This window comes from Homo sapiens, chromosome 6, assembly GCF_000001405.40.
Source record: "Homo sapiens chromosome 6, GRCh38.p14 Primary Assembly".
NCBI lineage: Eukaryota > Metazoa > Chordata > Mammalia > Primates > Hominidae > Homo > Homo sapiens.
In genome coordinates, this window is record NC_000006.12 from 121,466,378 (window position 1) to 121,479,488 (window position 13,111).

A 13,111-nucleotide genomic window follows, 5' to 3' on the forward strand; every position below is an offset into this window, starting at 1 on the left:
ATTTTTCTGATAGCTCAAGAGTATCTTTTTATAATGGATTTGTTTGTCTCTGAGACCAAACAAAGTCCATATGTTACATTTTGTTGTGTCTTTTAGTCCCTTCCAACCCTTTCTATGACATTGATTTTTTTAGCCAACGTGGTTTTTTGAATTGTCCATCTGTTCTCATTGATTTGTGATGCTTCCTATAGTATAATTTACATATAATAGAGTCAGTTCTGGTCCATCAAATCTGTTTCATTGAACTGTGTCTAGTATTATGTTATAATGGGCTCACAAAAGTTATTTTATTTTTAGTGGAGACGGGGGCAACAGAGCGAGACTCCATCTCAAAAAAAAAAAGTTATTTTAATTTCAGAGTAAGTTTCATTATCTAGAAGGGAAGAGGAGGTTTCAATATTTATTTATTATCTAGATAGCTTTATTATCTAGAAGGGCATTAATCTACCATTTTAACATCAGTTTTTAAAGATGTTCTTATTTGTTCTTCTAGATGCTACCTTAGGTTCTTTTAACTTTTTTTTTTTTTTTTTTTTTTTTGAGATGGAGTCTTACTCTGTCGCCCAGGCTAGAGTGCAGTGGCGCTATCTTGGCTCACTGCAACCTCCGCCCTCCGAGTTCAAGCGATTCTCCTGCCTCAGCCACCCGAGTAGCTGGGATTACAGGTGTCTGCCACTGTGCCCAGCTAATTTTTTGTGTTTTTTGTAGAGATGGGGTTTCACCATCTTGGCCAGGCTGGTCTTGAACTCCTGACCTCATGCTCCACCCGCCTCAGCCTCCCAAAGTGCTGGGATTACAGGCATGAGCCACCACGCCCAGCCTCAGGTTCTTTTAACTTTACAAGAGTAAAAATAATGTTTCTAAATCCAAATTTTGGGGTCACAGGCTCACATCAAACATAAAAGATTTAGGCAAACCAGTTATTTCTGGAGTAATGTACTATTTCCCTGCCTTCTCCACATCAAAATTTCTAAAAACAAATCTAGAAACCAAATCTACTCAATACTTCCACTTATGTCAAAAGTTAATTCAAGGAAAGAAATTACTTTATAGTAAACCACTGGGACATAATGCAAAATAAAATAAATACTGTGAAGGAGAATTGCACTTCTGTGATTTAAGCAACAGATGAGAACACTTTCCTCTGCTGGCTTTTGAATCGAATCCAGGGGAAAAGTGAGAAGATGTGAAGCTAGAGATAAAAATGCTTATGAAATCAAGGTAAGAGTTCAAAAACATATTATTGATTTAGAAACCTTGATCAAGAAGGAACAGAATAGGAAGGAAAGGTGAGGAGTTAAGCTTATGCACATTCATTCATGCCATAAAAAATTATTTCCTTTGAGATTAAGCCCCATTGCAGAAAGAACTTGAGATGACCAATTATTTTAGTTTCATGCTCTACCTTGACATGTTAAGTTCATGATTTATTGAAATTTGTACATACCGTGTGGATGAAATTTCTAGCTTTTGCAATTTGCTTAACTTGTTTATAGTAAGGGGTATAAGAGGTTTTGACATCTCAGGTTGTTTAGGGGTAACTGGTTGATTTCTCAACTCAGGGTAGGACACTGTGTATCAAGGTGAAAAGGAAATTAAAGACAAATTAGCTGGATTTTCTGGGGATACTGAAATGTGGGAGTCCAGGATATAGGCCTCAAAAAACACAACTAACAATCTTCTACTGGCAAACATCTTGCATGTTAGGTCAACTGAATAATGAAGACTAACATAGGACATCAGATCATTAGATACATTCAGGAGTTATTTTTTAATTTTTTAAAAATTTTTATTATTATTTAAAAATAATTTTTTGTAGAGAGGGGCTGTCACTATGTTGTCCAGGCTGGTCTGGGCCATCCTCCTTGGCCTCCCAAAGTGCTGAGATTGCAGGTGTGCACTACCATGCCTGGTTGGAGTTGTCTATGCAGCAAAGAGTGACAACTTGCTGGATAGGGTCATATTAGAAAAGGTAGCACCATCATTTTGCTCAGTTGCTGATAAAGGCTTGTGTTTTCTCACACTTTACAAAAGTATTGGCAGCTCTCAATTCACAAATGTGCTAATACAAATATCTTCTGCATGGTCTGATTGCACACCATCTCCTCAGGCCACCCATTGTCCTAGAACCAAACATCTGGAGCATGGTACCTCCTGACATCTTGGTGGAAAGTGGTGGTGGTGGTGGTTAGGCGCTGACTCTTTTCTATCAACTCTTTTTTTCCTCCTAATTTTACGTCTTGTATTCTCTTTTTAAAAATGCTGTTGATTTTTGTTCAGGCATAATTCCACTTTGCAATTTAACTATTGACCCTCTACTTAAGAATTGCCCCTGTACATTTGATAGATTGAGGTGCAGGTCCAGAAAGGGGTCACAATGTAAAAAGAACAAAGGAGCCTTCTGGAAAAGAAATTATTCTAAGGGTGCTAGCATAGCCCTGGAAATGTCAGGCTCTGTCAACTCCATGTTTCTGCATATGTTGTCCACACTGTCTACAACACATTTCTTCATGTAGGTAATCCTTTCTCATCTTTCAAGACTCACCTTGATCACACACCTTTTCTAGATCATTCCTGTCATCTACGCTATGTTTCTACAATCATCTGTAATTCTCTCTGCCATAGCATTTATTATACTATATTTCAATTAGTTTTTTCTTTTTCTTTCTTTTTTTTTTTTTCTTGAGACAGGGTCTCTCTCTGTGACCCAGACTGGAGTGCAGTGGTGGTGCGATCTCGGCTCACTGCAACCTCCACCTCCTGGGTTCAACTGATTCACCCACCTCAGCCTTCTGAGTAGCTGGGATTACAGGCGCCCGCCACCACAGGCTGGCTAGTTTTTTTGTGTGTGTTTTTAGTAGAGATGGGGTTTCACCATATTGGTCAGGCTGGTCTCGAACTCCCAACCTCAGGTGATCCACCCATCTCAGCCTCCCAAAGTGCTGGGATTACAAGCAAGAACCACCACGCTTGGCCTAATTTGTTATTTTTGTTCTCTACCTTCACTATTAGAATGTAAACTTCTTGAGGGCAGGAACTGAGTTATATTCACTACTGGTCAGCAGTACCTTCCATGATGTGGAGAACACATAATATCTTCTCAGAGTAAATGAATAGAGTTTGATTTAATGACATTATCTCAGCGAGAGAAGGAAGGGGCAGTGATTCAGACTACAGTGATGTGTCTGTCATACAGATGATCCTTGACCCAGTTTCTATGCATTTATGTCTTTATCCTAGAGAGAAGTTTTGGGGAATAGCAAAGGAGTATCTCACTGAAACTCCTATAAGAGGTTAGAAGCTCAAGGCAGCTCTGCTTTAAGATATACATCACTGAATGTGTATCTATAACCAAATGTGTACATTCTTTCCACTCTTCTGATAACCAGGAACAGCAGGAACAATTTCTAAGTATTAGAATCCTTGGCAACAGGTGACCAGAATGATCCAAACAGAAGAAATAAAAATTGTAGCCACCACCATAGTAATAGTCCCATGTTTCTGAGCACTTGGGAAACAAATATCAAGCATATTGTACCTATTTTCTATCATTGCTCCTGTTCTTTTTTTCTTGCACTCTTTTTCTGCCACCTCTGGCTTTAACTGAGTATTTTATGTAATTCAATTTTCTCTCTTCTCTTAGCATATCAATTATACTTCTTAAACAATTTTTAGTGGTTGCTTTAGAGTTTGCAATATACATTTACGACTAACCTAAATCCAACTTCAAATAACACTATAACAGTTGGGCATGGTGGCTCGTGCCTAAAATCCCAGTACTTTGGGAGGCCAAAGCAGGAATATTGCTTAAGGCCAGGAGTTCAAGACCTGCCTGGGCAAAACAGCCAGGTCCCACGTCTGCAAAAAGTAAAAAATAAATAAATAAAAATTAGCCAAGTGTGGTGGTGTGCACCTGTTGTCCTAGCTACTTCGGAGGTAGAGGTGGGAGGATTGCTTGAGCCCAGGAGTTCAAGGCTGCAGTGAGTCATGATCATGCCACTGCACTCCTAGCCTGGGCAACAGAGCAAGACCTTTGTTGCTAAAAAAAAAAAAAAAAAAAAAAAAATTAGATTTCCTTTCTCAAAAATTATTTTGCAATGATAATATGTTAACTCTATAATAAGAAAAATTGAGCCAGGCATGGTGGCTTATGCCTGTAATCCCAGCACTTTGGGAGATTGAGGAAGGCCAATTGTTTGAGCTTAGGAGTTTGAGACCGTTCTGGACAACATAGTGAGACCTCATTTCTATAAAAAATAAGCAAAAAAATTTAGTTGTATACAGTGGTGTACAACTTGGGAGGCTGAGGTGGGAGTTTCACTGGACCCAGGAGTTTAAGGCTTCAGTGAGCTGAGACTGTGCCACTGCACTCCAGCCAGGGCAACAGAGCGAGACCTTGTCTCAAAAAACAAAACAAAAAACAAGGAAAAGAGAAAAAATGTTAGTTTAAATTTTGTTAAATTTTATTTTCAAATAACTTGAAACCTTAGAAAAGTTGCAAGTATAAAGAATTTCAATATACCTCATATCCCAGTTCACCAGCTGTTAACATTTGCCATGTTTCTTTTATCATTTTCTCTGGAACACCAGGAAAAATTTATATACACACAAACACAAACACATTGTGTGGGTATTTTTTCTGAAACATGTGAGGGTAAGTTAATATCATGTCCTTTTACCACTTCATATTTAAAGTGGATTTGTTTGCTTATTTATTTGTTTATTTATTGAAAGAATACCACAGAAGTAAGGTGTCCTCTCACACTTTCTTGAGGAGTATACGGTATCAGCATAACTTATCACTGGGTGCTGTTAACCTTGATCGCTTGCTAAATATAGTGTCCGCCAGGTCTCTCTCTATTGTAAAGCTACTATTTTTTTCCTTTTCCATACTCTGTTCTTTGACACTGAATCACTAAGTCCAGCCCACACTCAAGGAGAGAAGGGATTAATTTCCATCTCCTGGTGGGAGAATAGCTGCATACATTATTTGGAATTCATCTATAAGAGGAGAATTGCCTATCATCTCATCTCCTTCATTTGTTAATTCAGTTATTTGTTTATATAAGTATGATTTCAGGATTTCAGGGCCGGGCATGGTGGCTCACACTTTGGGAGACTGAGGTGGACAGATCCCTTGAAGCCAGGAGTTTGCGACCAGCTTGGCCAACATGGTGAAACCCCATCTCTACTCAAAATACAAAAATTATCCAGGCAAGGTGGCCTGTGCCAGTAATCTCAATTACTCGGGAGGCTGAGGCATGAGAATCACTTGAACCTGGGAGGCAGATGTTGCAGTGAGTCAAGATCGAGCCACCACACTCTAGCCTGGGCGACAGAGTGAGACTCTGTCCAAACAAACAAAAAAAAAGAAAGTGTGCGCTCAGGTGTATTTTACATTTTGGAATCTAATCCAATACTATTTTATTTATGGTGTTACTCAAATCTTTTCAGCTTTGGCTAATAAGAGATCTTTCAGGTTGGCTACTGTATACCTTTGACATGTCCCTATGTTTTTGTTTTTTGTGTAATTGTACTAAAAAATGCTCCAGGTTCATCGTGTACTTTCTTTGCCCTGGTCCTAGAAAAGCATTTTTTTCTTTCTATTGAAAATAGCATTGGAAACCAAGATCTGGACGAAGGTGTACTTGTCGTTACTGGAATATCATTGACCCTAAGTAAACAGTACTAGGGAATATGTATGTGTCTATTAACCAATGAATATACATATATCTATAGTTATATCTATCTATCTACCTATCTATCGTCTATAAAACTAAATTTACATGGGTTCATACTGAGGTCTCCAACTCAACTCCCGGTACCACATGGTTCATTCTAGACTCCCGTCTTGATTGTAATTTCTCTGACAGTGAGAAACCTGGCTTCCATTATCTACCATTAATTTGCTTATGTGTTCATCTCTACTATAGATGTAAAGTACTTCAGAATTGTCAAACTATACTCCAGTAAGACACAAATTTACAAACTAGAGTATAATGTGAATGCACTTTTTTTTTAGTCTTCAGTCTTACAGCTTCCATCAAAATACTGTTTTATTTATTTATTTATTTATTTTATTTATTTATTTAAGACAGAGTCTCACTCTGTTGCCCAGGCTGGAGTGCAGTGGTGCAATTAGGCTCACTGCAACCTCTGCCTCCCAGGCTCAAGTGATTCTCCTGCCTCAGTCTCCTTAGTAGCTGGGATTACAGGCACATGCAACCACACCTGGCTGATTTTTGTATTTTTTAGTAGAAACGGGGTTTCACCATGTTGACCAGAGGCTGCCCTTGAACTCCCAACCTCAAGTGATCCTCCTGCCTCAGCCTCCCAAAGTGCTGAGATTATAGGCGTGAGCCACCACACCCAGCCAAAATACTGTTTTTTAAAGATCTTTAGGACAGCTTTTTTTTTTTCCACCTTACTTCAGAGACATTATGTCCTACATTTGTAATAGTTAGATTCATTTGTCACATCCTGAATTTTGATAATCAAATTGTCCCAGATTTGGCCTGTGGGAACCATTTCAGTCTTGCTCTTGTGTTCTTCGATATACCTCCATCACTTTCTGAGCACTTCTTTACTTTATGGCACCACAAGATGTTCAAGTTCATATTTAACCCTCTATCCCAGCCCTAGAATATGTCATTTCTTCAAGGAGCCCTGAAGGTGATACTACTTTTAGGACCTTTTATTGAATAGATGTAGAAAAGATGCCATGGATTGTGTACATGGGCTGTTTGTGTGTTGTGTGTGTGTGTGTCTAATAGTTATTTGAATTTAAAAGCATATTGAATTTAAAAGCATAAAAGGAGAACCACAAGAATTAGCTGCCAATGTGCTTGGAAATGTATCACCATCTCCTTCACAAACATTGCCTTTTTTATTGTTTTCTAAATAAATATGTTTTCCTTCATGAATCATGAGCTACTTTTCAATCTGTTATTAATTTTTTCTTTTCCATTCTTACCATGTTAAATTATTTGCTTTTCATTGCCAATTCTGACACAGTATTATTATCTGCCTTTTATTCTTCCTTAAAAATAAGTTCTTGGCTGTGTGTGGTGGCTCATGCCAGTAATCCCAGCACTTTGGGAGACTGAGGCAGGCAGATCACTTGAGCCCAGGAGTTCAAGACCACCCTGGGCAACATGGCAAAACCTCCTCTCTACAAAAAAATACAAAAATTAGCCAGGTGTGGGCCAGGCGCGGTGGCTCATGCCTGTAATCCCAGCACTTTGGGAGGCTAAGACAGGCGGATCACGAGGTCAGGAGATCGAGACCATCCTGGTTAACACGGCAAAACCCCGTCTCTACTAAAAGTACAAAAAAATTAGCTGGGCATAGTGGCATGCACCTGTAGTTCCAGATGCTGTGGAGGCTGAGGCAGGAGAATGGTGTGAACTCGGGAGGCAGAGCTTGCAGTGAGCCAAGATCGCACCACTGCGCTCCAGCCTGGGTGACAGAGCAAGACTCCATCTAAAAAAAAAAATTAGCCAGGTGTGGTGGTATGTACTGTAGTCCCAGCTACCATAGAGGCTGAGGTGGGAGGTTTGCTAGAGCCCGGGAGGTTGAGGCTCCGTGAGCCATGATCCAACCACTGCATGCCAGCTTGAGTGACGAGTAAGACCCCGTCTCAAAATAAATAAGTAAATACATAAATAAATAAATATAAGTTCTTACAGCATTGTATGGAAAACTGCATTCACTTAAAAAATGCTTAAAAATGAGATTTTGGAATTTGCATAATTTAGGGACTTTTATACACTGAATTACAAAATGTAAGACTTTAGTCCTCTTGAAAATTTTTATTTTATTTTTATTATATTATTTTTTTAAGACAGGGTTTCATTCTGTCACCCAGGCTGGCGTGCAATGGTGAGATCACAGCTCACTGAAGCCTCAATCTTCTGGGCTTAAGTGATCCTCTCATCTCAGCCTCCCAAATAGCTGGGACCACAGGCACACACCACCATACCCAGCTATTTTATTATTAGTAGTATTTGCAGAGATGGGGTCTGGCCATGTTGCCCAGGCTGATCTCAAACTCCTTGGGCTCAAACCAGCCTGGCCAACATGGTGAAACTCCATCTCTACTAAAAATACAAAAATTAGCCAGGTGTGGTGGCACGCACCTGTAATCCCAGCTACTTGGGAGGCTGAGGCAGGAGAATGGCATGAACTCAGGAGGCAGAGCTTGCAGTGAGCAGAGATCGCGACACTGCACTCTAGCCTAACAGTGCGAGACTCTGTCTCAAAAAAAAAAAAGAATTAAATTTTAATTAAATAAATTTTAAAATTAATATTTACAGAAAATGTTAAATATTACCTCAAATAGATATTCTAATTTTGTAATTGGAGGTTTTCAGACAATTTTAGTCCTCTATATCACGTTCAAATTGGTCTCATCAGTGACCTTCCTCCAAAGTAGATACATGATTTGCAAATGATAAATAGAAGATTTAGGAGAAGGGAGAAAAATGTTTTCATGCTCATTTCTTATCTTTTTGTTTTTGGGTTTTTTGTTTTTGATTTTTGATACAGGGTCTCGCTCTGTCACACAAGCTGGAGTGCAGTGGTGAGATCATGGCTCACTGCAGGCTTGACCTCCCAGGCTCAAACAATCCTCCAGCCTCAGCTTCCCCAAGTAGCTGGGACTACAGCCACACACCACTATGCCTGGCTAATTTTTGTGCTTTTGGTAGGACGTGGTTTCACCACGTTGCCCAGGCTGGTCTCAAACCCCTGGGCTCAAGCAATGCTTCCCAGCTCGGCCTCCCAAAGTGTTGGGATTACAAGCATGAGCCGCCTCACCTGGACACTTTTTATCTTATAGTCATTTGAATTAGGCAATTGGTTATATTTTGAAAACTCAGTACAATTCTTGGAGAGTTGTCTGGGGTAAATTTTTTCACTGTCACTTTGAAAACTAAAGATAAATTTTAACATCATAACCTCATCATCTCACAGCTTAATAAATATTTAAACTTTACTCTGTTTAATAACATTGATAATTAGACCATTATTAATTAAATTTTAAATATACCTGTAAAATGAAATTAAAACAATAATTAAAAATCTGGAAATATTTTTTATGTCAAAGAATCTAGGTTGGACACTAACATAATGTAAACACTTGTACAAGTATCTGGTGACTGTAATTTCTCAGTTATTTTGAACAAAGTAAAAATTTGGGATATTAAAATTGATTTGTGATGATTATAGATTTAATAATCAGTGTTACAACTAGATAACCATAAACAACCTTATTATATAATTAGTGTTTAAAATTTTTTTTTTTAATTTTCATTGTAACTATAATGAATCTGATTTGAAGGAGAAGGTTCATTAAATTGTTTGGAAATTTGCAATTGCTCTTTAAACATTCATTTTCCTTGATCGCTAATTTTATGTAAGAAACATTCATCACTGAGTTGTAAAATCAACCACAGTAAATAAATACCAACTGCTTACAAGACTTAAGACCATTTATAATTACAAGTTGAGCATCCCAAATCTGAAAATTCAAAATGTAAAATGTTCCAAGATCAGAAACATTTTTGTTATTTTGTTTTGTTTTTGAGACGGAGTCTTGCTCTTGTCGCCCAGGCTGGAGTGCAATGGCGTGATCTCAGCTCACTGCAACCTCCGCCTCCCAGGTTCAAGCAATTCTCCTGCCTCAGCCTCCCGAGTAGCTGGGATTACAGACACGCGCCACTACGCCCGGCTAACTTTTGTATTTTTAGTAGAGACGGGGTTTCACCATGTTGGCCAGGCTGGTATCAAGTTCTGACCTCATGATCCACCCGCCTCGGCTTCCCAAAATGCTGGGATTACAGGCGTGAGCCACCGTGCACAGCCTCAAAATTGGAAACTTTAAAATATAACACATTTAATGTACTAGTCTTTTAGATGCGTGACCTGTGTGTTACAACTGAGTCTTTAATCTTGGAGCTTCATCAACTTAACTGGTTTGCTTTCATGACCCTCCCTCAGTCCTTTCTGCAGAGGTTCAAGAGGAAGACCTTTTGAGAAGTATGCAAGTTTTTTTTAATATATGTATGAAAACTTTATTCACTCTGTTAACTTTTTCATCATTCACAATGTTTATCTTTTTAAGAATAGTGGTAACTGGGCTGGGCACGGTGGCTCAAGCCTGTAATCTCAGCACTTTGGGAGGCCCAGGTGGGTGGATCAGGAGGTCAGGAGTTTGAGACCAGCCTGACCAACATGGTGAAACCCCATCTCTACTAAAAAAATACAAAAATTAGCTGGGCACAGTGGTGCGTGCCTGTAGTCCCAGCTACTCGGGAGGCTGAGGCAGTAGAATCGCTTGAACCCGGGAAGTGGAGGTTGCAGTGAGCCGAGATCGTGCCACTGCACTCCAGTCTGGGCAACACAGTGAGACTCCGTCTCAAAAAAAAAAAAAAAATTAGTGGTAACTGGTTTTATTTTCTTTTTAGCCTTAAAGATTTTTTGGCTGGCAATGCGAATACATTCCTATACTTCTGCCCACTTAATTTGTTCTTGGCCATTGTCTTTGATACTCATGTGTAGCCACTCAAGCTCCAGGTGACACCATCTACACACACTGGAAATATGAAATTTTTTGAGGCCCAACATGTTGTTCAAAGGAAATGCTCACTGCAGCATTTTGAATTTTAATTTTCAGATTAGGGATGCTGAACCGATAAGCATAATATGAATATTCCAAAATCTGCCCAAACACTTCTGGTCCAAAGTATTTCAGATAAGGGATACTGAACCTGTATAAGCTGTTCATCTAAGCTATATTAGATATGTCTTCTTATCAAATTGTTCCATTAAACTATAATAAAGATAAATCAATGGCATACTATGAATTTCCTCAGGCTTATTTGATCTTCTTTTAAGCAAAGGTTGCAATTTTTATTCTGTACAATATAAAACCATATTACAGGCCAGTCACAGTGGCTTGCACCTGTAATCCCAGCACTTTGGGAGGCCCAGGTGGGCAGATCACCTGAGGTAAGGAGTTCAAGACCAGTTTGACCAACATGGTGAAACCCCATCTCTACTAAAAATAGAAAAATTAACCGGGCATGGTGACGGGCGCCTATAATCCCAGCTACTCAGGGGGCTCAGGCATGAGAATTGCTTGAACCCAGGAGGCGGAGGTTGCAGTGAGCTGAGATTGCCCCATTGCACTCCAGCCTGGGCGACAGAGAGAGATTACCTCTCAAAATAAATAAGTAAATGAATAAATAGATAAATAAATCCATATACATAGATTTGATGTATAGGTTCTACATTTTTTACTTTTGGAAAAAATATGTAGGGAAAAAGTTTACAAATCTCTCATTCTCTGCTATAAAAAGTTATAAATGAAACCAACAATTATTTGTGCAGTTATCAGTTCTGAATACAATATGAATTATACCTAGAAATTAGAATTTATCTAGATGCCTCTGCCTGCTTGTGAAGAACACAAAATTATATCACAGAACACTCTGGCTTCTATAATTTGGGGCAATTTTGAAAAGCAGACTTCTTCCTAATGTAAGGAAAGAATAATTTTTCCATAAGTCACCCAGCATAAAAAAAGTTCATGGTCTGATTTATCTTTTTTAAAAGGCGAAGTGATTCACTATTATATTTGCATGGATTATTTTGATCCTTACTAGTCCCTAATTGTGAAATCAATTTAGCATGTGTTATATCTGTTTGGGTTTTCCCAGCAAGAGACTGATATAAAATGTAGCAAATTGGCTGAAGTACATGGGCTAAAGTAAAATGAATTGAATAATTAAATATAAAATGTTTACCAACTTTATTCTTCCTAATTTTACAACTGTCTTGTATATTGAGATTAACTGTTTCTTGAGTCTATGAACACAACTGAATCTGATATTTTAACACCCTGCAGTGCCACTGCTTGTTTGATGTTTCATTTTGCAATGCATATGGTCATTTTGCCCAACTTCAATTCTTCTCCAGACTTCATTATCATAAAAATCTTATCATCAGCCGGGTGTGGTGGCTCACGCCTGTAATCCCAACACTTTGGGAGGCTGAGGTGGGTGGATCACCTGAGGTTAGGAGTTTGAGACCAGCCTGGACAACATGGCGAAACCGGCCTGTATTAAAAATACAAAAATTAGCCAGGTGTGGTGGCATGCGCCTGTAATTCTAGCTATTCAGGAGGCTGAGGCAATGGAATCACTTGAACCTGGGAGGCGGAGTTTGCGGTGAGCGGAGATCGTGCCATTACACTCCAGCCTGGGTGACAGAACAGGACTCTGTCTCAAAAAACAAAAAAACAAAACAAAAAAAAACTTTATCATCTTTAGCAAGTTAAATACATACTTGCTTTTGAGACTAGACAGAATTTTTTAAATTTTCATTTACAATCATTAACATTGCCTGTGATGAACCATCCTTAGCATCTTGGAAGCTTTCAGATATAAAAATGTTATAAGCTGAGCAAAGTCTTTTCAGTTTTTCAAGCATTATTAATGCTTTCTTTTTAAAAATTAATAGTTTTTTCTTTTTTTTATTTTGAGACAGAGTCTCGCTCTGTCACCCAGGCTGGAGTGCAGTGGCTCGATCTCGGCTCACTGCAAACTCCGCCTCCCGGGTTCATGCCATTCTCCCACCTCGGCCTCCCGAGTAGATGGGACTACAGGCGCCCGCCACCACACCCGGCTAATTATTGTATTTTTTTAGTAGAGACAAGGCTTCACCATGTTAACCAGGATGGTCTTGATCTCCTGACCTCGTGATCTGCCTGCCTCGGCCTCCCAAAGTGCGGAGATTACAGGCGTGAGCCACCTCGCCAGGCCAAAATTAACAGTTTTTAAAAGTTTTTGCATTATTTCTTTTTCTAAAGTTATGATATGGCTTGGAGATAGCTGTTCATGAATTCTGCTCCCTTTAAGCACCTTCATAAATCTGGATTTTTAAGCTTTATTTATTTATTTATTTTAAAAGTACATCCACAGAGTGATATAGATATTGAGCTTTAAATATGGGTAGCTGTGGGGTTTTTTTATTTTTATTTTTATTTATTTTATTTATTTTGGGAAGGAGTCTGGCTCTGTTGCCCAGGCTGGAGTGCAGTGGCACGATC

General features: G+C 38.9%; 1 pseudogene, besides 2 other annotated features; it reads right to left on the bottom strand.

Annotated features, from left to right (window-relative positions):
* Nucleotides 741-910: an enhancer, noted in NCBI's record as "experimental_89387 CRE fragment used in MPRA reporter constructs". NCBI's record gives its function as "activates a minimal promoter by MPRAs in K562 erythroleukemia cells, with activity observed for both the introgressed and non-introgressed 6:121788349 or rs4579388 variant alleles {active_cell/tissue: K562}" and the evidence as "EXISTENCE:reporter gene assay evidence [ECO:0000049][PMID:34662402]".
* Nucleotide 826: a transcriptional cis regulatory region, noted in NCBI's record as "Neanderthal adaptively introgressed variant 6:121788349 (GRCh37/hg19 assembly coordinates) or rs4579388 in the experimental_89387 CRE". NCBI's record gives its function as "modulates activity of the experimental_89387 enhancer by MPRAs in K562 erythroleukemia cells {active_cell/tissue: K562}" and the evidence as "EXISTENCE:reporter gene assay evidence [ECO:0000049][PMID:34662402]".
* Nucleotides 11,790-12,911, bottom strand: LOC260339 (transcription factor A, mitochondrial pseudogene; annotated as a pseudogene).